The sequence below is a fragment of the Homo sapiens genome, chromosome 2 (assembly GCF_000001405.40).
Source record: "Homo sapiens chromosome 2, GRCh38.p14 Primary Assembly".
Taxonomy (NCBI): Eukaryota; Metazoa; Chordata; class Mammalia; order Primates; family Hominidae; genus Homo; species Homo sapiens.
The window spans coordinates 80,530,378-80,557,331 of record NC_000002.12 but is presented as its reverse complement, the minus strand read 5'-3'; the positions used below and the strand labels follow the sequence as shown (position 1 = coordinate 80,557,331).

The 26,954-nt window shown below is 39.0% G+C and overlaps 1 protein-coding gene across 15 annotated transcripts in view, besides 1 other annotated feature; it reads right to left on the bottom strand.

Annotated features, from left to right (window-relative positions):
* CTNNA2 (catenin alpha 2) overlaps positions 1-26,954 on the bottom strand; it is a 1,463,404-nt gene that overhangs the window by 91,449 nt on the left and 1,345,001 nt on the right. For all 15 annotated transcript variants that reach the window (NM_001399737.1, XM_024452714.2, XM_011532556.3 and 12 more), the window contains 3 exons: positions 12,258-12,350; positions 11,269-11,425; positions 1,439-1,639 (listed from right to left, as the gene is read on the bottom strand). In NM_001399737.1, coding sequence (NP_001386666.1) covers positions 1,439-1,639; positions 11,269-11,425; positions 12,258-12,350 — 451 coding nt within the window. The remainder of the gene's footprint in view (positions 1-1,438; positions 1,640-11,268; positions 11,426-12,257; positions 12,351-26,954) is intronic.
* Positions 26,795-26,924: an enhancer, noted in NCBI's record as "active region_16095". NCBI's record gives its function as "activates an Ori minimal core promoter by ATAC-STARR-seq in GM12878 lymphoblastoid cells {active_cell/tissue: GM12878}" and the evidence as "EXISTENCE:reporter gene assay evidence [ECO:0000049][PMID:35858748]".

The following is a 26,954-nucleotide window of genomic DNA, read 5'->3' as shown; positions in this document are numbered from 1 at the left end:
CAAGTGAGGAAAGAAATACTGTATGGCTTGCTTTGTGTTGCTCAATTGAATGCAAAGGGCAAGCTTATGTGAAAGAAAGCAGTGCTGACTCTCAGCTAATTCAAATGCAGTCATATCTTGTCATTATTTTTGTTATTATGTCTAAGTCTAAGTCTGTAAGGATGTTCCAAGGGCAACAGTCTCTAGATGTGCTCTTTATAACATGATACCACACTATTCTGTTTCTGCTTATATTTTAAAGAGAATGACCAATACCTGTGTTTATGTATTGTGTTTTACTTGCTATTCCAGGCTAACAAATACCTACAGAACTCTTTGTAAATAATCTTTTCCCCATAAAAAGCAACATATTTCTACCAACACATCTCATCATGCAGAACTTGGAACATGGCTATATCTGACCTTTCAGAGATGGCTATTTTAAAAATGCCTGGTGGCATCCAAAGCTCATAGGCAAACCTATGAAGGTCCCCCTTAGGGTTTGAGGGGAGAGGCCCTTCTGTGCATATATATGCACCAATTCATTATTCATTAACAACCTTATCCAATGTGGACTTACATTCTCTTTTTCTATTCCCTAGTTTCCTCTCATTCCTTGGACTATATATCTTATCTCATATATATAAATCAAGGCCTGAGGAAGCCAAAAGACATTGGTCAAGAGGGGAGAACTACTAAAAACAGGCCAGTCTTATATATTCTCCAGAGTTGTAGATTGTTCTAATTCAGTGGAAGCATTTTTTTTTACCCCAATGCATCTGCAAGCTCTGACAAGCTCCCATAAGTAACCATACCTGACCATAGCAGTGAGTCCTGTGAGCAGCCACATGCCCCTGAAGAAGGGCATGTAAAGCTTTCCTAGAAAGAAAGGGAATATGCTGAAAGCCTAACTCTTTGTCAGCAGCCACCACCTTTCTTTGAGCACGTCATATCCACTCACTATCTAAAACCTTTATGCTTTCCACTGGCTGGTTCAGAGTTCTTCCTTAAGGTCCTATCCTCTCAAGCAATAAATGAAGAAAAGGTTAAATTACAGATTCCAAGTTCTTATCACATCTGCACTATTTTCTAACCTTGTGACCTCATTCCAGTCTCTTAGCCAATTCAAACCATAATTTTCTCAAGTCATAAAATTATCTCATCCATAATTGGAGATAATTAAGTAAGCAGAAAAATTTTATTGTTTGTGAGAATCAAATGATCTATATGAAAAGTATAAAGAAATATATGCATGCAAAGCAGTACAACTGTCATTCTCCTAATATTATTCAAATTCAAACTCAAAAAACAAAGAGAACACTCAAGTATTCCACCCATTCCACAATTATGTGCAATTTAGAAGCATAAAGGCCTACAGAAATCAATGAAACAGATTTATTCAGTTATAGAAACTAATCAAGGCATTAACATTTTGGCCAGACCCAATACCCATGCTTACCTGTTTCAGAAAGCAATTTTGTAGCTTCCAACACCTTCTCAGTATAAACCCCAGCTTCATAGTTCTCCATCTCAGCATTGATGATGTGTATGACTCGAGCTGCCCGGCCCCTGATGGCCCCTGCAGTCCGGTCCAGAGTGTCCACATCGCCCTCTTGGAGGGCTATCACACACTTGTTCACATCCTCCAAGATGTGATTTTCTATGGAGAGGACACATACACATTTAGATGACTTTACATAACTCAGAACTTAACCAATTAAAATTGATTCAACTCTCATGAGCCCTTGCCTTGGACACATCTCAATGCATGCCTAATAATACTAAAATTGTATGTAAAGGACATAGTTTATAATTACAACAGTGGTTCTCAAACCTGAGCATCAGCCAGAGGGCTGGTAGCATCACATAGATCGCTAGGTGCCACTCCTAGAGTTTCCAATTCAGTAAGTCTGGGGTAGAGCCCAAGAAATTGAGTTTCTGTCAAGTTCCCAGGTGATGCTAATGCCACTGGTTTGAAGACAACATTCTGAGGACCACTGACTTAAAGAATATCCCTTCCTTTGTTTTGAAGTTTGATACTTACACACGACAGGGCCTTTTAGAAGTTGTAGCAGCCAACATGAAGTCAATCTGACCAAGTATAAATGTCCATAAATAAAACCAGAGTCAAAGCTTTGGACACATGTTTCTTTAATCATGTTTTCATTACGAAAACATTTGAGGAAAAATAAATATCACGCAGTTGGTCTTTTAAAATTATGTCATGCACACGGTATATGCAATGGGAAAACTGATTAGGTGAAGACGATCAGTTTCCCACAATTAAAATACAATCCAGTCTTGTGGCTGGTTCCCTCAGATTATAGTCAAGATCTGCATAACTTTCATATGATTGCCCAAAGTAGAAATCAAGCAGGCATAGAGGGGAGGCTTCACTCTCTAATGGCATAGAGAAAACACATTATTTATTCCCTTGCAGTTTTAACAAGTGTGTAATTTTGTATTTTTCATGTCCAGTGTGAGATCTGTAATTCTATTCCTTGTGCATTCTTTAGAAGCAGAATTCTAAGGAAATGTTCAAAAAGTTTAGTGCTCTTTGTAAATAAGCTGAACACACACATACATGCACACACACCAACTAATAAACTGCATGTTTTTATTCCCTTAAAATTCATATGTTAAAATTCTAACTCCCAAAGGGGTAGTATTAAGAGGTGCAGACTTTAGGAGGTGATTGTGTTATGAGGGCAGAATCTTAAGGAATGGAATTAGTGTCCTTATAAAAGAGACCTCAGAGATCCCTCCCTCTTTCTACCCTCTTTCTATCCTCTTCCTATCAAGGTTCCAGTGAGAAGACTATGAGAAAGCAGAGTCCTTTGTCTTGGACTTCCCAGCCTCCAGAACCATGAGACATAAATTTCTATTGATTATAAGCAACACAGTTTACAGTATTCTCCAAAACACACCAAGACATGAACACATAAAAATATGTGCTTTTGATAAATATATTTTTAAAGTCTTAAGTAACCTGTTAATATTTTAAAATTATAACTGCCAAATCCAACCAATAGTTCATAAATAGTTAAAATAAAATATTACCTCTTTAAGAAGCTTTTAGGGCTAGTTCTGATTTTAAATTTCCTAAAGAAAGAAAGAGAGTATCCAGCAAATCCTAGTCTCCACTACCGATCTCCCCTACTTTTACTAAATTAAGCACTTAGAAAGAAAATTTATATTTTTAGGACACAGGATAGAAAATTGCAAGTTATAACTGACTTTTCATAAAGAACATCCATTTTGACCTCATACAGTGTGATTTCTTCACTCAAACCATTATAAATTGCTGATTTCTACATTCTCCATTTCTTTAATTTCAACTATAAATTAGAATAGAAAAATAATGAAACGTTTAAATTTTAGTATTTCGATTTCTAAAACTCACAAAAAGTAGTACTTCCCAAATCATGACATTTTCTTGAGACATGACATTTTAATGAAAACATGATTAAACATGTGAACACAGTATATACCTAAAAGGACATCTGAGAGAAATGTTTACTCAAATGAATATTGACAGAGAATTCTAAATGTAAAACTTTGATTAAAAGAAGCTTCTCTTTCTGTCCTGTAGAATTTCTTAAGACAATTAAAATGTGTCCTGGCCCTTGAGAGTAAGTAACTAGAAAAGGATTTGTGTCAAAATCACACATCCGGCTGCTATTTTCTTTGTATAACAGTAATACAAGAATGGACAAAGTTTCAGTGCAGAGTTTAGAAACGGTACTTTGGAGTTGAGAAAAAAATAGTGAGACGTCTGTTAATTATATTAGATACTAATCCTTCTGGAGTTAATAAGTTTGTTTTTAAATTCTAAGAAACCCATTCATGACCCAATATGTTAAAATGAAAACGTATTTTTAATAGGACTATCCAAAAGTAGAAATATGCAACTAATTTAAGAGGCAAGAAATATGTTTTTATAGGTATTATTATACCTATTTAAAATAAACCAGCACAGGCTAGAAATCCATAACAAAAACATTGCTATTAATTACTCAAATCATCAGCAAATCTGTTACATAGTCAGGTTAATAATGTTGTACAAAGTATTAGTTTTATAATTTACTAATTGACTAATTTTATTTTATTTTATTTTATTTTTTTTTTTGAGACGGAGTCTCCCTCTGTCGCCCAGGCTGGAGTGCAGTGACGCAATCCCAGCTCACCACAACCTCAGTCTGCCAAGTTCAGGAGATTCTCCTGCCTCAGCCTCCCAAGTAGATGGGATTACAGGCATGCACCATCACACCTGGATTTTTTTTTTTTTTTGTCTTTTTAGTAAAGACAGGGTTTCACCATGTTGGTCAAGCTGCTCTTGAACTCCTGACCTCAAATGATCTGCCTGCCTTGGCCTCCCAAAGTGCTGGGATTACAGGCATGACCCACTAGGCCCGGCCTAATTGACTAATTTTTATAAATAAATTTTTAAAATTTTAAGATATAGTCATGCAACATAAATCATTTCAGTCAATAACAGACCACATACTTAAAGGTAGTCCCATAAGATTATGTCATATTTTTACCGTACTTTTAAAATATTTATACATGTTTAGATACACAAAACTTACTATTGTATTCCAATTGCTTACAGTATTCAGTACAGTAACGTGCTGTACAAGTTTGTAGCCTAAGAGTAATAGGTTATACCATGTAGTGTAGGTATGCAGTAAGCAATACCATCTAGGTGTGTAAATACAGTATGTGATGTTCACACAGTGATGAAATTGCCCAACGATGCATTTCCCAGAACATATGCCTGTCGTCAAGCAACATATAATTACAGTTTACTCAGTGTTTTTCAACCTTCTCCAATTCAGGTCCCTTTTTATGAAAAAATGAGTCACAGTTTCTTCATGATAGTAGTTATATTGATGGATGGCAGACATGTAAAAGCTACTACGGTTCAGAATGTTTTCAAATAGATTTGTACTTTATTAAAAACAATCTACAGGCATGTCTTGTTTTATTGTGTATCACAGATTGGTGGGTTTTTTTTTCTTCCCCCCCAAATACAAATTGAAGGTTTGTTGCAACTCTGCGTCAAGCAAGTCTGTTGGTGCCATTGTTCCAACAGCATGTGCTCATTTCCTGTCTCTGTATGACAGTTTTGCAATTGTTGCAATATTTCAAAATTTTTTCATTATCGTTTTGATGATCTGTGATCAGTGATCTTTGTCACTATTGCAATTGTTTTGGGGCATCAGGAACCATGTTCACTTAAGAAGGCAAACAATAAATGTCGGGCGTGTTCCGCCTGCTCCACCAAGACGGCCGTTTGCCATCTCTCTCCCTCTTCTCAAGCTTCTTATTCCCTGAGACGCAACAATATTAAAATTAGGCCTATTAACAACCCTACAATGACCTTTAAGTATTCAAGTGAAAGGAAGGGTCACACATTTCTCACTTGAAATCAAAAGCTAGAAATGATTAAGCTTAGTGAGGAAGACATGTCACAAGTCAAGAGAGGCCAAACAGCCAACTTGTAAGTACAAGAAAAAGTTCTTGAAAGAAATTAAAAGTGCTACTCCAATGAACACCCAGATAAGAAAATGAAGCAGCCTTATTGCTAATATGGAGAAAGTTTGAGTGGTCTAAATAGAAGATCATATCGGCCACAGCATTCCTTTAAGCCAAAGCCCAATCTTGACCAAGATCCTAATGCTCTTTAATTCTATGAAGGCTGAGAGAGGTAAGGAAGCTGCAGAAGAAAAGCTGGAAGCTAGCAGAGGTTGGTTCATGATGTTTAAGAAAGAAGTCATCTCCATAACATAAAAGTGCAAGGTAAACCAGCAAGTGCTGATGTAGATAGAACCTGTGCCAAGTTATCCTAAAGATCTAGCTAAGATCATTGATTAAGGGGGCAAACAAGTTTTCAATGTTGACAAGACAGCCTTCTACTGGAAGACGGTGCCATTTACAACTTTCATAGCTGGCTTCAAAGGACAGGCTGAGTCTCTTATTAGTGGCTAATACAGTTGATTTTTAGGTTGAACCAAATGCTCATTTACCACTTTGAAAATCCCAGGGCCCTAAGAGTTATGCTAAATCTACTCTGCCTGTGCTCTATAAATGGAACAACGAAGACTGAAGACAGCACATCTGTTTATAGCATGGTTTACTGAATATTTCAAGTCCACTCTTGAAACCTACTGTTCAGAATAAAAATAATTCTTTTCAAAATGTTATTGCTCATTGAAAATGCACCTGGTCACCCAAGAGCTCTGATGGAGATATACACAGAGATTAATAGTGCTTTCCTGCTTGCTAACACATCTATTCTGCAGCAGATGTATCAAGGAGTCATTTTGACTTTCAAGTCTTATTATTTAGAAAATTCACTTTTTAAGGCTATAGCTGCAATAGATAGTGATTCTCCTGATGGATCTGGGCAAAGTAAATTAAAGGCCTTCTGGAAAGAATTCGCCATCCTAGTTGCCACTAAGAACATCCATGATTGATTCACCGGAGAAAGTCAAAATATCAACATTAACAGGAGTTTGGAAAAAGTTGATCCCAACCCTCATAGTCGACTTTGAAGGGTTCAAGACTTCAGTGGAGGAAGAAAGTGCTTATCTAGTGGAAATAGCAAGAGAACTAGAATTAGAAGTGGAGCCTAAAGATGTGACTGAATCTGCAATGTCATGATCAAACTTCATGGATGAGGAATTGCTTATGTATGAGCAAAGCGGCTTCTTGAGATGTAATCTATCCCTAGCTATGATAGTGTGAACATTGTTGAAATGACAACAAAGGATTTAAAATATTATATAAATGTAGTGCATAAAGCAGCAGCAGAGTTTGAGAGGACTGACTCCAATTTGAAAGAAGTTCTACTGTGGATAAAGTGCTGTCAAACAGCATCTCACATGCTACAGAGAATCTTTTGTAAAGGAATAGTCAATCAACGCATCAAACTTCATTGTTATCTTACTTCAAGAAATTGCCACAGCCACGCCATCCTTCAGGAACCACACAGGAACCACCACTCTGATCAACATCAAGGAAACCCCCCCTACCATCAAAGAGATTATGGCTGGCTGAAGGCTCAGAATGATCTTTAGCATTTTTTAGAAATGAAGTATTTCTAAATAAAGGTATGTACAGTTTTTAAACATAATCCTACTGCACAGTTAATGGACTACACTGCACTGTAAACATAACTTATATGCACTGGGAATCAAAAAAGATTTGTATGATTCACCTTATTGCAATTGGCATTTTACTGCAGTAGTTGGAACAGAACCAGCAATACGTTCGAGGTTTGCCTGTGTTTGGAAAAAAGCCATACCTGTTTACATAGACATGAACATGAACTTTTTGGTCAGAAGACCATACTTGGTGTATATATGGATTTTTGAACCCCCTGTAATAACTTCCTCACCCCCATACCCTGTGCCTTCAGGTCTAGGACTTAACAGTTAGTAAGCACGCTAATCTAGTATATATCAAGGAGGGCAGTCAATTATTTAAAGGCAGAATACACACTTCATTCACATTTGCATTCCTGACAGTGGCCTATAGGCAGCAGGCAATCAAAAGACAGACACTGAATGAACATGCCCATTGAGAAGGGGCGATCAATTACACACTTTTATTCTGAGGTGTTTTGAAGAGAAAGAATTCATGAAGTAAAGAGAGAGAGGAATGTTGCAACTAGAAAGGAAAAGAGATGAAAATAGTAATAAAAGGCAAAAGTATCCTAGAGATTATTCCATTGCTGTGAAAAACTGCAATGTTTGGGTGGCACACTCTAATATCAAGTGTGGTATTTAAACATGTCATGAAACATTTGATTGCAACATATTTTATTGTAAACTTCCTTATATTTGGCAACATTACTATTTTAGAAATGATATAATTTTGTTATGAAAAAAAATCAGTGATGACCAAACTATTTGACTGTTGTAAACCATAAGGCTACAGATTCAAAGCAATAAAGTTCACGGTGAATTTTTAAAAGAAAATAAACTTAAGACTGTAGAGTTAAAAAAAAATAGGAAAAGTTAAAAAGCAAAACTCTTGGGCATTATGAGATCAAGTTAATAGCTTTTTCAGATCTTAGCTTCCTACTACTTTGTGAGCCAAATCCAAGAATTAAACTGTCACATGATTAATGCCAAGATGCTTATTTTAAAATACTATTAAAAATTGTAGGTTTTCCAAAGTGGGAAAAAGTTTGACTGTTATCACACAGTCATTTCACTTTTTTATGTGCATAGGCCACATCTTAAAATTGGTTTTGCTCCTGTAATGTTAATAGCTAGCATCATTGCTCCCCAAACTTGTTGCATTTCATATGGACAAATTTAATATCAGATACAGAAGTTAGGGTAGCATTAAAAAAACTACAATCTTTTAAAAACAAAGATCTGTTTTTATTGTTTTTTAAATAGAGTTTCCTGACCAAAGAGATATTCCCCTAAGAAGAAACTGATACATAAAATATCATTAATGCCACTTCAAAATATCTCTTGGGCCAAACTTGCAGTTTACTTATGTAAATGTTTGGCTGTAGCTCAGAGAGAAGATGAGAAGTAGTTTCCCTAGCTATTGGGCTGTGTCCACAGCCTACCAGCAGGACAGAGTGGGCTGTATCATTATTTGTCAAACCCCGTCTGCGGAAAGGTGCCTGCTGCCTCTGATTGTCAACTCCAAAGGCATGCTCCAGCAGGCCCTGCCAAGCTGGCTCTCTGACAGCGCCTGTTCATTTTCCTGCCATGGCATGCCGTGGCACTTGTACCACTGGGGTTGGACTGCACAGTGTTATCAGCAGAAGCAAAAGCCTTTTCTTGTTGCTGGTAATAATGAGATGCACAAAGGAATGACAAGGAGAAAAGGGAGCAAAGAGGCAGGGCTCGGGGGAGGAAAATTAGCAAAAGCTTTGTCCTATTGAAAAAGTCTGAGATAAGACCTCCTCACCTTGCTTGTCCCCACCCTCAGAAATGTTTATGCATGCATTTAAAGAATAGGTTGGAAAAGTTGTAAGTTCTAAAATGATTCCTCTCTGAAAAAGGCAATGTATAGGTATTTCCTATTGATTTGAAGGTAGAAGGGGATGCAGAAGATTTCCAGGGGCTGTCAGGATGGCTGTGTGATCTGAGGCTGGTTGGAAAGGGCTCCTATTTGGAGCACCATAGTTATCCTGGAAAAAAACTGACCATATACTATAAAGATTAGTATCAGTGGCCACCTTTCTATTCCCCATCAACCAAATTACGAACATACCTATCTAAGCAATTTCCAAATACCTTATGAGAGATTCATTTTGTGGAGGTATCTTTTACAAGATTAGGACTCAGCTATCAGCAAAGCAAAAAATAAAAATAAAAAAGCAGAAATGGGCTGGGCGCGATGGCTCACGCCTGTAATACCAGCACTTTGGGAGACCAAGGCGGGCGGATCACCTGAGGTCCGGAGTTTGAGACCAGCCTGACCAACACGGAGAAACCCCGTCTCTACTACCACAAATACAAAATTAGCCGGGCATAGTGGCTCACGCCTGTAATCCCAGCTACTCTGGAGGCTGAGGCGGGAAAACAGCTTGAATCCGGGAGGCGGAAGTTGCTATGAGTCAAGATCGCGCCATTGCACTCCAGCCTGGGCAACAAGAGTGAAACTCCATCTCAAAAAAAAAAAAAAAAGCAGAAGTGACAATATATTGAGTTCTTTTATCAGCTAAGCTCTAGATATGGTGATATTTAAATGAATAGTTGCTTTCACAAGTCATCAAAAACAAAGACCTTGGGAATAAAAAACAAGACAGGTTTCTGAAAGGGATTAGAGATTGGAATGAGAATGCCAGAGGTGGGAAAGGGAAGCTGAAATGAAAGCAGCAAGCACCAAAGGAAATTTCCTTTCTATCTTGACATATTGAGAATTATAGAGTTTCTGAAAAGAGGATGATCTGGATTTTAATACCATCTCTGCCAAGTTACCTACCCTCTCAATGACTTAGTTTTCTTAAAACAAAACCTAGAATTAGTAGTACCTATTTTATAGAATTTTGATGAGAATTAAATCAAGCAGCAGAGAGTAAGGTAAATTCTAGTCACAGGCCGCATGTTACATCAATGTTCCCATCTGCCTTGGCTTGCCCCATCATTGAAAAGCTGGATTTTTGATTATCCATCAAATCTACAGATTTGACTACACAGTTCTCAGACAAGCCCCAGTGGGAATTTATTATGTTTCTTCCGGAAAAGAAAAGACTGCAACTAGAAACATTTTCTAAACATGACAGCCCCCCTCAGAAATCACTTCCACACTGTTGCAGTCAGAGGTCCTGTCTGCCTGGTTCCCACCAACAGTGATGCAATGTCTCCCTCAGCCCTCAGTCAGCCAAGAACCAGCAGGTCATCAGGGCTAGTACTGCCTGAGTCAGTAGGTGTGAGTTCCACACACCTGTGTAGAATCAACACCTGGCCAATTTGAATTTCCAAGGGTCAGCTGGCTCTTTTAACACCTCACAAAGAAGGCTGATGTTTCCAGTGACCTCCTCCTCACAGAGATTCTTCCAGGTGAACTGGGCCAAATAAGTTAGGTCAAAAGCATTTGGAAAAATGTCCATTTGCTGGCTGGTAGACAAATCTTGAAATGGACTCCACGAGTCCTGTTAAAGGTCAGACTGTCTCTGCAGTTATTCATGTCTACTAGCATCCTCCAGTCTGGCTTCATTTACAAAGAAGAAAGTTATAATTTCAAGTGATGAGCAGTTCTATTTTCTTTCACTCGCTTCCTTCTACAACCTCATAGACAAGTGCTCAAAGCCTTGATAGCTACCAAGTCCCTGCTAAGGGGTAAGTTCTGTGGCTGATATCTCTACCTGTGTTATCACAAACCTTCACTTGTTGGAAAAAAAACAAAACAAAACAAAACTTAACATAGCCAAATTGGAGTAACTGATCACCTATTTTTAAGACATAAACTGTGTAGATTAATGAATCCCATATTCCCTGGCCCTTTTTTACATGAGTGATTCAGATACATCAAAGGCCATCCTGCTTTATAAACTCCAAACACTAAAAAGGAATATAAGCCACCTTAAATAATGTATTCCTTTTTAATGCCTTGACTCCGTGTCTTGAAATAACATAAACACCGAAGCATCTAAGAGGGTGTTATAATCACATTTGCAGAGATGATCAAAAAAGCTCAAAGATCTAAGGAGTGCGCCTGAAACACAGATCCATGACATTTGCGAGACATTCCTTATCTCGTTCAGTTACCCTCCTCCAGCTGCCTTGTAAGGGACCTGTTTGTGATGATTACCTGAGACAGAGAGGAAGTCATCCACTGAGGTGATGTCATCCACGGCCTCTGTCAACACTCGGACCTGCTTCTCCCACTGGTCTTTGAAGACGTCCATGTTATCCTGAGCAACTTTGCTCTGTGGCCGGGCAGCCAGTGTCAGAGCGGCATTGATGACCTATTTGTTGGAAACAATCCAGGGACATGATGACCACACACTTCAAAAGAGGAATAAGCCGGTCAAAGACCATGTTAAAACCATGCACCCTGTACGTTCTACAGATAAGTGGGTTCTTGGTGTTCAGAAGGACAATCAAACACATAAAAGATAAAGGAGATTTTCAACTACCATTAATTTTTGTTTGCTTCTTTTTAAGACATAATAGTTTGCCTCGGGTTTCAAAAAGTATTTACTGGACAAGTCTCATGACTTAGCACAGATACAGCAGAAATGCAACTCTTGCTTTCCACATGTGCAAGTTTATGATTTAGCTGCCGAGACAAGGTAAATAGATATGGAACATTTAAATCACAACCCAAAACAAATAGAACAAAGTCAACAGGAGTGGAGAGTATAGTGGCACAATCCCAGCTCCCTGCAGCCTCGAACTCCTGAGCCCCAGCAATCCTCTCACCTCAGACTCCCCAGTAAACTGGGACTACAGGAATGCCCCCACCACACCCAGCTAGTTTATTTTTTTGTAGAGATGGAGTCTCACTATGTTGCCCAGGCTGGCCTTGAACCCCTGGCCTCAATCAATCCTCCCACTTCAGCCTCCCAGAGCACTGGGATTATAGGTGTGAGCCACCATGCCTGGCCAAGCTGCCATGGTAATTCTGAAGAGACTGGTATGGTTTATTCTTTCTGAGAAAGGTAGAACTTGAAACAGCTCATAAATGATGAGTAGCCTTTTTCAGCAAGAGGAAATAGAGAAGGAAAAGGAGGGGCACAAGGGCTGGAGTGGAGAAGGTCACTGACAGGCTTTTGAAACAAAGTGAATGAGGCTTACCTGGGGACACAGGCTGTCAATCTGGGTGGCTGCCATCCGAACTAATTTCACCCCTTCTTCATTGTTGGAGATGGAACAGGCCAAATTGGCAACCTGTATTGAAGAGGATTTTAGTGAATATTAGGTTGGGGCAAAGGGAAAGTATACTGTTGCTCCGCCTTGGACCTTCTCTGGCAGATGTCTCTTCCAGGAGAATTCTTTCAGAAATAAGATAAGGGTACCCTGGCCTTCATGTAGAACCAACTAGTACTACTTCTTATGCTAATTTAGGCATTTCTGTCAGAAAAGGCATTTCACGACTCTCAAGCATATACAAGGTTGTGTTTTAACAGGGTTTTATGAACTGTTTTTTCTTATGAACTGCCTTGATCCGCCTACACTCTCTGGAGCCTCCTAAGACTCAACATCAAAATGCAAAACCCTGTGATCTCGGCCATATCAGTACTCAGTTCTGACCCTGTAGAGTTGAGTGAGAAGAATGCTACAGGCAATTATTTGGGCTTGAGAGACTCATAGTAAGCTGACAATTATGGTGCCCTGCCCCCAAAATACCCGATCTGCCTGAAAATTTTAGTCCACTAATAGCCAACTCAAATATTATTAGAGGCCAGCTGTTATGAGCAATGTAACAAAAAGGCTCGTAGCATTCAATACACAATGGCGGAATATATAGTAAATTACAATGTGCAGATCTAGTATAAAGACATTCAAATTTGATGGCCTCCTTGTTTTCTGGCACCTTCCATTTTCAAAGCCAACAGTTTTTTTTTTCCCCCTCCTTGGTTCCTGGCCCAAATTTGAATGTCTTCTTTTCCCCTCTTCCTTGGTTCCTGGCCCCTTCCGTCTTCAAACAGTTGGCTCTGAAGATGGATGGGGCCAGGAACCAAGGAGGGAAGGGGAAGCAAGACATTCAAATTTGATTTTTAGGAACACTATGCTACCCCAAACAGCTGGACTGAATTCAAGTTCCCAGGTCAAGGGGGTCAACTTGTTGTTATTCCTTCTCTTGAAGGAGAGTTGGTAATTCAAGGTGAGATTGATTAGCCAAGGTCAACAGCCACAAAGCCACCATCAAAAGACCAATCAGTCCCATCAGGCTGGTATCAAGACAACACAAGAATGGGGATATGAAAAGTCAAAGAAGAGGAGAAGGACAGCAAGGGGTAGGAGCTATGGAGCAAACAGAACAAGTGATTAGCAGACAGAATCCCTGGAGTCTTGTGGCCGCCTGCCTTTTTGGTATCCTGCTTATGTTTAGTCTCCAAAACTGGGCTGCTCTCCTCCCATTCCTGAATGCCCTAGGATTTTAGAATGTACCACCCATGCTTATAGTTCCTAATGTGAAAGAAACCTTAGGCAGTATGACATAGTGAGAAGAGTACAGGCCTGGAGATCAGGAAGTTCAACCACTGGGCATCTTTATAAGTCACTTCACATTTTAGATTGCTGCTTCCTTATCAGCAACATGAGATGGGTTGAGGGTGATAGAATACTTTTAAAGATTACTTCAATAAACCATTAGTGTAAAGAATAGGGTTTTGGAGTTTTTAAGGGAGAAAGAGGATGCATTATAGCTATTTCAGTGAGAAAATGTACTAGGAGAAATTATGACAAGTGAATTCAAACATTACCATTTAATTTCTTATAGTTTATAGTTTACCTTTGATTTTCATTATTTTACTTAGTTTTCAAAATAAGTGTGAAAAGACATATGCCTCATTAGGACCATTCACAGATACTGCATGCCATGGGCAGGAAGGTTCTTAGATGTGGGGCAGGAACCAACGATGCAGGTCTCTTAACTTCAATTTCTTTGTTATATCATAATGTCTTCTCTCCACATTTTTATTCATCTTTGTTACATCTGTATTCTATATTCTGGTTCATTTTACAATCCAAGTGCCTGACTCAGTGCATGACACAGAATTGGTGTTTTGTACATGTTTATTTAATAAATTAAACAATAGCTTGTAAACTTAGTGTAACTTATTGTAGACAGTAATTTGGAATACACAATGGATAAATGGTGCCCTCAAAAATACAGTTGAGCTTCACCCTTAATTTGGCAAGACAAATGTTCACCTTCTAGCAGATGTTAACCAATGTTATGGTGTTAACCAATGGTTCCTACATTCTGATCTGTGGTACGAGTCCAGAATGCAGCTTCCCCTGTCCAAAGTGGCATGTGGGGGGGGGAAAAAATCAGGATAGTGGAGAATCTTCTAGAAAGATATATGTATTTAAAGTTCTACCTTTTAATATTCAATTAAATTTTTCCTATATCTGCTTTTGAACAACCTCTCATTCTATGAAATAGTGATAATTTTAGATGATGGCTGTTTTTGCCCCGTACCATCCCTGCTTGCTGTGCAAAAGACTTGAGATCACACTTTTGCAAACAGTGAATAATTGCTAGAGTTTAGCACAACAATATGAAAACTTAAAAATGCCCCAAGAATCAGGTAATTATTTGCATTTCTGTAAAAAGCATAAGAAAATACCAACACGCTTAATGAAATAATGGATCCAGACCAAGTCATCAGTGGTTAACATTAAAAAAAGAAAGAGTGACAACCAGAGATCATGTGTTTCTTGACTGAGTGACATACCACTGTCCATGAAATATTCTTGCCAAAAAAAGAAAAGGTCAGCCATTTAGGATCAATTTTCAATTTACAGAAAATTCAAGAGGAAAAGAAACATGTAAAATAAAAGTACATACATGCAATCATAAAAATCCTGATGGTTAAAAACTGCTGGAAAAAAGACATAGATCTCATTTGTGTCCTGAATAGAAAAAACAAACTATAATATATATATACACATAAATATGTAAATAAATAAGTAAATAAGACTACATTTATGAAACCATCAAGGAAATTTAAATATTAACTAGACATTTGATGATACTGAGGAGTTATTATTATTTTAAAGCATGCTAATGGTACTTTTTTTTTAAAAAGAATCTATAGCTTTTAGAGCTATATAATCAAGATGTTTATTGATGAACTGATGTTTGGAATTTGCTTCACAATTATCTGGGGTTGGGGAAATGGGTAGAAATGTAGAAAAAACAAGATTCGCCATTAGTTTATAATTGTTGAAGCTGAGTGACAGTGTATGATGGTTCATTACACATTCTTTACTTTGGGATATGCTTAGCATTTTCCATATTAAAAAACATTTAGAAAAAAAGTAGCAGCCACAAAGTATTATATCAACAGCTCTGGAAAACACTTTCTTGCATCTGTGCGTGTCTCCAGGGAGCACAGTGTAAGCTAGGGAAACCTGAGTGTGGTTTGGAGTTGAGACTTGCAGACAGTAGAGGGTACCTACCTGAGCACAAATGAAGAGTGCTGTAACTGGACTCTGTCAGTCACAGCATAGCTCCCCAGATCGCAGAGCTTCCCACTTATGCTGACTGCGAGTCACCTGGCAGAAGTCGACCCTGTGGGACTTAGAGCTCAGAAGAGCTGGACTCTAACAGAAGGAAACGCTAACTAGTAACTTCCACATAGTGAAAATAAACTTTTCTTTGTGTATCTTTTGAACTGTTTTCTCATCTTTTGTTTAAATTAAACTCTATTATTCCTTAGGCCTAACTCCTCACCCAACAGAATCTTAGTAGGGGGAAACCAAGCTAGCAATGCTTGGCAAAAATAAAGAGCTGGCACCTCTTGATAGTCCTCCAGTTATTTATTCTCTTTAATTGTACTGATCCATAAATCCTAAAGTCTGGCAGCCTATACTCTGCAACGTACTCCTGCTATTTAATTCCACTTAAAACCCAGAATTTCATTCACCTTGTATTTTCTTTGGAAACATTCTGAAAATATTTCCAATATGATGCTAAGGATTTCAGTATCTTCAGAGGCAGGCTTACATATTTTAAGTTGGTCATGGGCTCTATCCAAATCCCTACCTTCCCTTTTTTCTTTTGGCTTGTCTTTCTCTGCTTCTCACTGGACCCAATGGCCCAGTGGTGACTATCAACTTGGTTTTATATATTTTGATTTCTAGAATTTCATCAGCAAATGATCCTTAGCTTCATAGCTTGAGGCAGTCCCCAATCAATAATGTAGCTTGGGCCAGATGCAGTGGCTCACGCCTATAATCCCAGCAATTTGGGAGGCTGAGGCTCCTAATAAGCCAGGAGTTGAAGACCAGCCTGGGAAATGTGGCAAAACTTCATTTCTACTAAAAATACAAAAAATAGCCAGGGTGTGGTGGCACACACCTGTAATCCAAAATACTCAGGAGGCTGAAGCAGGAGAATCGCTTGAGACCGGGAAGCGCAGTTTGCAGTGAGCTGAGATCACACCACTGCACTGTGGCCTGGGTGACAGAGAGAGACTCCATCTCCAAAAAAGAAAAAAATAATATAGCTTGAAATGCCAGCTAACACCTCAACCTCAAAAACATCAGTCCAAGATAACTATACACAGTAGGTATCTCAAAATTGATTTTTTTTTTTTTTTGAGATGGAGTCTCATTCTGCTGCCCAGGCTGGAGTGCAGCAGCAAGATCTCAGCTCACTGTAACCTCCACCTCCCAGGTTCAAGTGATTCTCCTGTCTCAGCCTCACCAGTAGCTGGGGTTACAGGCACCCAACACTACGCCTGGCTAATTTTTGTATTTTTAGTAGAGATGGGGTTTCACCATGCTAGCCAGGCTGGTCTCGAACTCCTAGCCTCAAGTGATCCACTTGCCTCGGCCTCCCAAAGTGCTAGGATTACAGGCATGAGCCACCACACCTGCCAGTATCTGATAATTGATTTCAACAACCTGTTCTTTAACTAGATATCTGTTACAACATCAGAAACTGTGGTAAAGTAAATGTCCTATTTTTTCAAAGCTAATATTTTCTCCTACATGGTCAGTTTCTCATGATAAAGGGTGATAAGGGGAAGTATGGAGGAGGAAAGGAATGGTGGACTGGAATTACTAGACACTTGAAAAGATTAATGTGAGTGAAAAAGCAGACAATATATCATCAATACATTGCAACCCCAAAGATGTTGAACAATACAATTAAATCTGATAGAATTTTGAAACTTGCTTGATGCAACCAAGCAGGAAATGTTTATGGGATATACTTGCTCAACTGGGCCCCGCCTCTGCCTTCTCCACTCTTGAATTATTTACAACTTAACTGAAGCCACAAGATTTAATCGCCTTCCTGGAAGCTTAGAAAACAATAAAGCATTTCATTAAGTATTAAATTTTGAGCAATTTAGATTGATCTGGGATTTCTGAAAGTGGAATAGGTCATGACTATAGGTGGTAGAGCTCGTTGGTGATCTAATTGTACTAAATACCTACCAATCTGTTAGAAAGGAAAGCTCTCCTTCTTAACTTCTGAGAGCATAATGGATCTGGGGAAGTAAAAGCTGAGAAGACTAGGCCAGTCTTTCTCTGACTTAGTACCTTAAAACCAGTTATCTTGAGGGAAAGGAGGAAGCTTAGCAGCCATCATTAAATTGTGTGCTGCTGACCCCAAAAACTTTAGGATTACAGAAAAAGAAGAGACCAGTGCTGCTAAGTGGAATCAGTAAACATATCATGGAGAGGTAAACTATCCATCCTGCAAGATTTATTTTACGATTGCCTGTTTAGCACTACTTTCTAGATGCTCAATGAATATAACTTTTTTTTTTTTTTTGGCTCTTCTGGGCACACTTTGTAAGTACATGAATACTTAACATTAACAATATCATTAGCAGAACTAGAAAGAACAACAACAACAACAACAAAAAAAAAAAAGCAAGGAGAGCCTATGCCTATTTTTTGAAGAAAGTAACTTAACTCCATTAATTGAATTTGTATTACAATTGGCATCTATCCTGTAACTCTTTAATAATCACCTCAGGAAGCCAAAAGCAGAGTGACAATATTCCTGATAAGACAGTTAAAAATTGACAAAAATAACTCAGGAGGCTGAGGTACAAGAATTGCTTGAACTGAGGAGGTGGAGGTTACAGTGAGCCGAGATCGCTCCACTCCACTCTGGTCTGGGCAACAGAGTGAAACTGCATCTCAAAAAACAAACATATGCATCCCTCATAAAAATACATTGTGACCCAATCGCTACAAAGATAATAAAATAATACCTAGGAATACAATTTTCAAGGGATGTGAAGGACTTCTTCAAGGAGAACTACAAACCACTGCTCAAGGAAATAAGAGAGAACACAAACAAATGGAAAAACAGTCCATGCTCGTGGACAGGAAGAATCAGTATCGTGAAAATTGCCATACTGCCCAAAGTAACTTATAGATTCAATGCTATTCCCATTAAGCTACCATTCACTTTCTTTGCAGAATTAGAAAAAACTACTTTAAATTTCATGTGGAAACAAAAAAGAGCCTGTATAGCCAAGACAATCCTAAGCAAAAAGAACAAAGCTGGAGGCATCAGGCTACCTGACTTCAAACTGTACTACAAGGTTACAGTAACCAAAACAGCATGGTGCTGGTACCAAAACACACATATAGACCAATGGAACAGAACAGAGACCTCAGAAATAACACCACATGCCTATAACCATCTGATCTTTGACAAACCTGACAAAAACATGCAATGGGGAAAGGATTCCCCATTTAATAAATGGTGCTGGGAAAATTGGCTAGTCATATGCAGAAAACAGAAACTGGACCCCTTCCTTACACCTTATACAAAAATTAACTCAAGATGGATTAAAGACTTAAATGTAAAACCCAAAACCATAAAAACCCTAGAAGAAAACCTAGGCAATACCATTCAGGACATAGGCATGGGCAAAGGCTTCACGACTAAAAAACAGCAAAAGCAATAGTAACAAAAGCCAAAATTGACAAATTGGATCTAATCAAACTAAAGAGCTTCTGCACAACAAAATAAACTAGCATCAGAGTGAACAGGCAACCTAAAGAATGAGAGAAAATTTTTGCAATCTACCCATCTGACAAAGATCTAATTTCCAGAATCTACAAGGAACTTAAATTTACAAGAAAAAAACAACCCTATCAAAAAGTGGGCAAGGGATATGAACAGAGACTTCTCAAAAGATGACATTTATGCGGCCAACAAACATATGAAAAAAAGCTCATCATCACTGGTCATTAGAGAAATGCAAATTAAAACCACAGTGAGATATCATCTTATGCCAGTTAGAATGGCGATCATTAAAAAGTCAGGAAACAGGGCGGGTGTGGTGGCTCATGCTTGTAATCCCAGCACTTTGGGAGGCCGAGTTGAGTGGATTATCTGAGGTCGGGAGTTCGAGAACAGCCTGACCAACATGGAGAAACCCCACCTCTACTAAAAATACTAAATTAGCCAGGTGTGGTGGCACATGCCTGTAATCCCAGCTACTCAGGAGGCTGAGGCAGGAGAGTTGCTTGAAACCAGCAGGCAGAGGTTGCAGTGAGCTGAGATCATGCCATTGCACTCCAGCCTGGGCAACAAAAGTAAAACCCCGTTTCAAAAAAAAAAAAAAGTCAGGAAACAACAGATGCTTGCGAGGCTGTGGAGAAAAGGAACGCTTTTACACTGTTGGTGGGAGTGTAATTAGTTCAACCATTGTGGAAGACAGTGTGGCTATTCCTCAAGGATCTAGAACCAGAAATATCATTTGACTCAGCAATTCCATTACTGGGTATATACCCAAAGGATTATAAATCATTCTACTATAAAGACACATGCACACATATGTTTAATGCAGCACTATTTACAATAGCAAAGGCATAGTACCAACCAAATGTCCATCAATTATAGACTTGATAAGGAAAATATGGCACATATACACCACAGAATACTATGCAGCCATAAAAAAGAATGGGTTCATGTTCTTTTCAGGGACATGGATGAAGCTGAAAGCCATCATTCTCAGCAAACTAACACAGGAACAGAAAACCAAACACTGCATGTTCTCACTCATAAGTGGGAGTTGAACAATGACAACACATGGACACAGGGAGGGGGAACAACACACACTGGGGCCTGTCAGGGGGTGGGATGCAAGGGGAGGGAAAGCATTAGGACAAATACCTAATGCATGTGGGGCTTAAAACCTAGATGATGGGTTGATGGGTGCAGCAAACCACCATGGCACATGTATACCTATGTAACAAGCCTGCACATTCTGCACACGTATCCCAGAAGTTAAAGTAAAATGTATAGTGACCATTTAAAAAGGCAAGATGTTTTTTAATCACACAAAGAAAACCCCACACAGCTCACAGATCTTGATAAACTACATCGTGGCTGTACAATTCAGTTTTGTGTGGACACCGCCACAGAAAAGCAGCTCTGTCTCAAAAGAGCCACAGTCTTGTTTGAACACTCACAAGAAAAGCCAAAATGCCTGGAAGGCTGAGCTTCAATTAGACATTAAAAACCTCTGCTAATAAAGTATTTAGGCATTTAACTCCAACGTGATATGAAGTACATCAGAAAAATGAGAACATTTTCCCTTTTTCTGGCCTCGGAAATCAAATTACATTTTTTAATATTTGTGATTCTGTTCTGTTTGAAACACCAGCAAATATTCACTGCATTCAACTCCCAAACACTGAATCATTTCATTAATTTTTACAGCTTCAGGTATCATATTGGTGTTTTAAGAACACACTATTGAAATAAAGCAGAATAGCAATTCGAAGGTCCATAAAGCACTTGCTCCTCATGTTAATATTTCATCATCACTGTAAATTTGAGAATAAAATGAATTTATTTAAATAAATTCAAGGGGAATTACTTGAATTTATAGTCAGTCATGTGGCCATATAAAACCACAGAGAGGATGGTGGCACAGATTTCACGCAAAACATTTTTCTCTAAAACTATCATCACAATGAAAAGTGCTGCGGTCTCCATCTGAAGGTTTATTCATTTATCTGTGCTGATGTAATTAGTACACACGAAGATGTTAACATATATGCCTATCTTCTAGAGAACCACAAGGTTCCTACAGAACATGACTCCTATAATACAGATGGAGTTTCACAATTCAATAACAGTGGAAATGATAAACCTCCCTGAAACCTTTGAGAGGCAAGACAGAAGCAGCTGGTAGAAAAACAGGCTCAGCCTTCGATGATCAGCTTCCAGGAAGATGGGCATAGGAATAGGCTAAATGGCCACCATCAAAATTGGACTTGAGGAGAGTCAAGTCTGGCTGCCCAGAAGAATATTGTAGGAGTTGTCTCGCTTTCCTGCTGAGGTATTATGGAATCATTTTAAAATGAGCAGCTACACACTGGCATAAGTTTATCAGCCTGATTAACAGTCACTGCAGTTCTACAGGATAGAGGAAACTTAAACAGCAGGGATAATTTGATCAGGGAAGGATGCTCAGTGGATGTCAGCAGCTGGGGGCTTAAGTACACTGGGGGACAGGAGGAAGTGGAATCACTTTTTCTTGCCTCTGTTTTAAATGACCTCTATAAGGCATCTGGCACTCTTGGTCATTCTATATAGTTTAATTTTAAAAATCATAATTGGTAAGACCTGGCCTTTGCAGTCAAGCAGCCCAGGGTTTATGTTCTGACTCTTATTCTCACCAGCTGGGTGAGACGTGTTGCATCTCTGAGCCTCAATTGTGTCTCAGTTATAAAATATAAATATAAAATATTACAATGTTGCAATAAGAGATTAGTTAACCCAGCACCCAGTAATGACTTGACAAATGTTACCGCCATAAGATGCAATTTATTGAAAGGTCACTATAAAAGTGAAAATATATTTGAATGACATTATCCAATCATTGATCACTCATTCAATAAATATTGAGTGCCTATATATGACAGACATGGAAGATACAAGTAAAATATTACTTATGCCCTAGATGAGCTTATATTTTGGTGGGAAGACAGAATTTAGCAAAGTAATGCATTAAAAGTTTATATTGTGATGAGTTTTACAAAAGAAACAAGGGGAAGACAATGATAAAAACCGAAGGGAGCTCTATGTGATCACTTGCGTAGTTTACCCCTTAGTTTTGTATAAAGTTACAATTCTCAAGTTATAATTCTTTTTGTCACTGCTTATTTCAACCCGTTAGATCCCAAATATTTTATAGATTTTATATACACTTCTAACCAATATTTTTTAATTATTGAATAAGATTCCCTAATGTTGTTGCCTCATTGTTTGGTAAATTAATTCCTTGCTGTCATGCATTTAGGGGAGTCTCCAATGTTTGCTATTACCAAAAACAAAGTAATACACATCTTTAGGCATCTAGTTTTTGCTCCTGTCGGAAGTGAAATTTCTGCATCAGGAAAATTGTTATGGCACTTGTTTACCTGTGACCATAGTCCTTGCTGAAAGGTCCCTGGAATAAGTGAATTGCCAATTTTCCAGTGCTACCAGCATTGCATCCCATATTCCTCAACACTGTTTCTTCTTGACTTCTCCACCAACATATCATCCGAATGTCCTTCTAACTATTCGTTCTATAAACCACAAGTGCAAATCAGGATTGCTCAAGTAGCCACTTCACATTTTCCCAGCTAGACTGAATTCTTGCAGGACAGAATCCCTACTTTACCCCTCCACACATATCTGGGATCACAGTTGCTGAATTCCAATTTTTTGAATTTACTAACTCCCACAAACTCTCTTCATGTTGTATAGAAGACCACTCAATTTGTCATAACTTAGTCATACATAGGAGGGCACTCAGTTCTATGATCTAGAATTAGGAGGAAGTATAACTTTTCTGTATCAGTTAATCAAATAAGTTTATCATCAAATTAGCATACACCAGCTAATATCAAGTGAACCTTATACAACATCCTGCCACATGGTACAACGAAGAAATTTGTTCATGGTCCCACCAGGCATTGTACCCTTGACTACAGTTATACATCTATAAAAACACAAATCTGCATTTTCTAGAGCTCTTCTGGGATGAAGAGCAGCTCTTTTGCCTGTGTTCTTAGGGATACACACACCACTAGCAAATGCTGTTTGCATGCCTCTGCCCAAATTAAAGTGATCAGTCTGCCCTGGTGACTTTAATGTAGGTAATCACCAGCTCACATTCATGAACAAATTGATGTGCCCGCTTCATAGCTGAATCACTCAGCATAAATCTATGCCCTTCATATATAAAAACCTCAGTGGCTTAAAATAATACAATAAAGCATCACCTAATGCCTTCTTGATGCTGGCTCATCAATAATGTGTGGTTATGTGAAAAGGATAGGAGAGGCTTATCATGTCTTACCTTAAACCATGCCGGGAATGTAATGCCCTTTTAATTACTAAAGGCATCAGGGGATTTTGTTTTCTCCATCTTTACATGGAGGAACTAAAACCTTGCAACTCTCCACTATTACTTAGTTTTCAGCATCTCATGTAAGTAAATGAAATCTCAACTTATTTCCAGTGAATACAACATGTTGACCTTCATATATGTGGGCTGCATATTAGCAGGATGAAAACTCCAGGATCCATCTCTGGCAATGCAGGAGGGCTGCACTGAACCATCCGGTGCTTGACATTTAACGGAAGCCAAGGAACGTTTCCAGAATGAAGATCCAGATGAATAAGTAAGTGCAGCTATTCTCTAAAACCTGGTCTCCTACATTTCCAGATGACAAGTGGAAGTGTGGAGTCAAGGCCATATCCACAATGCAGGATGAATCTAACCATCCTAACCAATATTGGATCTGTGACTACAGCCCGCTTCACACAGAATAAGGAAAACAGTCAGGAGTCCCCAGTTTATGTCCCACATTGCCTTCTTTTTTTTGCGGAGGGGATGCCTCCGCCAATTAAACTAGCAATCTTCCAAGGTTCAATTCAAAATCCACGTGTTGCTGAAGGCATCCCATTCACACAACCAGTAGAAATAGATCTCTTCCAAACACCTTCAGGCTTACTGGCTGTGCTACCCATTGCAACTTACCACATACTATTGCCTTATCCATTATTTATTATATGGATGGAGGATACCTACACACGGAATTAGATGTATAAATCAAAGATACACACATAGCTATCATGTATCTTCAACTAAATTTCCACATCTTTGAGGATAATGGTTGTATTTTTATTTTCATCCTTGTGGCTCCCATGGCTCCCCGTTCAAGACCTTGTAAACAGTAGCTATAAACGTAGTTCCAAGGCAGCCTCCCTGTCATGGGTGCTTTCTTACCTCCTGCTCCCATCTGCCCTTACCTCTGGGGTACAGCTCTTTCTTATCGCTGTTGGTTTACCTAGAAAAAGATGCTAATTGATTAATCAAAGTAACTATTCACTAAGGTCATATTTTCTTCTCCTAGGTAATATAACACCTTAATCTAATTAAGATGTTCCTGAGCCCTTTCGAGCTTTAAAAAAAACACACACACAAACCAAACAGTAGTTCCTTCTAATCCATGGGAAATACCTTCCAAGAACCTCAGCAGATACCTGAAACCACAAATAGTACCAAGCCCTATATACATAATGTATTTTCCTGAACATGCATACCTACGATAAAGTTTAATTTGTAACCTGGGAACAGTAAGAGATTGACAATAACTAGTAATAAAATAGAACAATTGTAAAAATATCCCAGCATTATTACTCTTGCACTTTGGAGCCATTATTAAGTAAAATAAGGGTTAATTGAACATAAGCACTGGGATACCTCTACAGCAGATCTAATAACCAAGAAGGATACTAAGTGACGAAGGGGCACATAGCCTCTACAGTGCATATGCTGGACAAAGGAGGATTGACATTCAGGGTGGATGGAGCTAGAGGGTGCAAGATTTCATTATGCTATTCAGAATGGCACTCAATTTAAAATGTATGAGTTATTTCTGAAATTTTCCATTTAATATTTTCAGACCACTGGTAACTGAAACTCCAGAAAGCAAAACTATGGATAAGGGGGGACTACCATATACTGTTGAAATTTCAGGCTCCCCAGGCAGGCTTTTGGGGAAATACATAAGGACAAGGAGTTTTTTCCTTAAACTCTGTCAACCCTATCTAAAAGTTCTTTGGTCTTTTCTTCCTCTGACCACCTGTTTCTATAAATAAAGTCATATTGGAACACATCTTTACCCTTTTATACATATTGCCTATGACTGCTTTTGCATGACAATGGCAGATTTGGGTAGTTGTGACAGAGACCATATGACCCACAAGCCAAGATCTCTTACTATCCCTTTACAGAAGAAGATTGCCAACCCCCAGTTTAGATGAAAACTTGGTGAGATTTAACCATTTAATTTTTTCAGACCTGTCAAATATGCCAAAGCATCGTCATAGCAGGAAATGAGAGAAGTATCAACTTATAGTATTTATGACACAAGTAAAATCAAAGTTAAGTGGATCGAGGAGAAGCACAGGTTCTTAAAGAATAAAAATATGTGCCCCTCCCAGGTCTCCTTAAAGCACAAAGTTCTGGGGCCAGAAAACAAACAAACAAATAAAAAACCAGGAGGAGATAGGCATGGAGCAGAAGACCCAGAAGGACCTCTAGGATATTCTCCACCATCCCAAACATTGACAAAAGAAGTTTGCAGGTGAACAGAGAAGCAATTCTGAGTCAGTACTGCCATCTGGCTTACCTCTCAATGTAGCACCATCAACAACCTCTTCCTGAAACTGGAGGATCACTCTAGAGGCCTCTCTAACCAAGAGGCCAATTGTGCAGCCTTTCATCTGTGGCCGTATCCTTCTTGGATATCCACTTCCTTATCACTTACTGCTCCATTCCTGGCTTTAGCAGTCTGTATGGGTAGCCCAAGACAAAGCCCTAGAGTATATCTAATAGAAGGTACTAGTCCTCATTGGCCCCTTGGTAAACACCTGGTCTGGCCACTGCAATGGTTACTGCCCGAAGGAGAAGTCCTGGGAACCTGTGTCACAACTCCAGAGGGTTCCTAAGTAAATCACAGCAATGGGAATATGGGGTAGGGGAGACAACCTGACTGCTGTCCTTGACCGCACCAGGGAACTGACTAAAGAAATGACCTTTGAACCAACTCATTCCCCTTAACAGCTCCCTCCCTGCCCTCAGAACCTGTAACCCCTGCCTCCTATTACCTGCATTGCCTCATGGACTCTTTCCAAGCTCAACCCCTCAAACCTGTTCACTCCATCTTACCTGAGCTCTAGTGCCACCTCTTCTTTTCTTTCAGATCTTTATTGCATTTTCCCCCATGTTCTCTCATGAAGTTTTAATTCTCTCCTTAGTGTATAAGTTCAAGCTTCTTTGGGTGCAAAGCACAGCTCCCTTTTTCCATGCTTTTCCCCTGGGAGCAATCCCATCCATTCCCAGACCAGGTGGTAGGCCAGATCCCTCAGTCATCAGAGAGGGAAAAAATCAAAGAGTTCTCCATATCTGCTGTCTTAGGCTCATTAAACAGTGCTATCGAAACCATCCAAGTATTGCAGCACCATCTCTGATACTCTCAAATCCTCCTCCCACGTGGTCAGGCTCATCCCAGTTCTGCTTTCTTTATATGACTTCATACTCTGGTTCCTGACACCTGCTTCAAGTTCTCCTCTGCTTAATACCACTTATGAACAACGTTTCCTGGCTATCTAATGTCACTAACCCATCAGGAAGGTCTCCCCACTTTCATCATACCTGCAACTATTAGTTTCTTCCTGTCTGTGTCCTGCAAAACACATACACAGTCTGACAAGGCCTCCTGGTTTTCATTGATAACCAGTGCTCTCACAAGTCTCTCCCGAGCTGGAAGCTC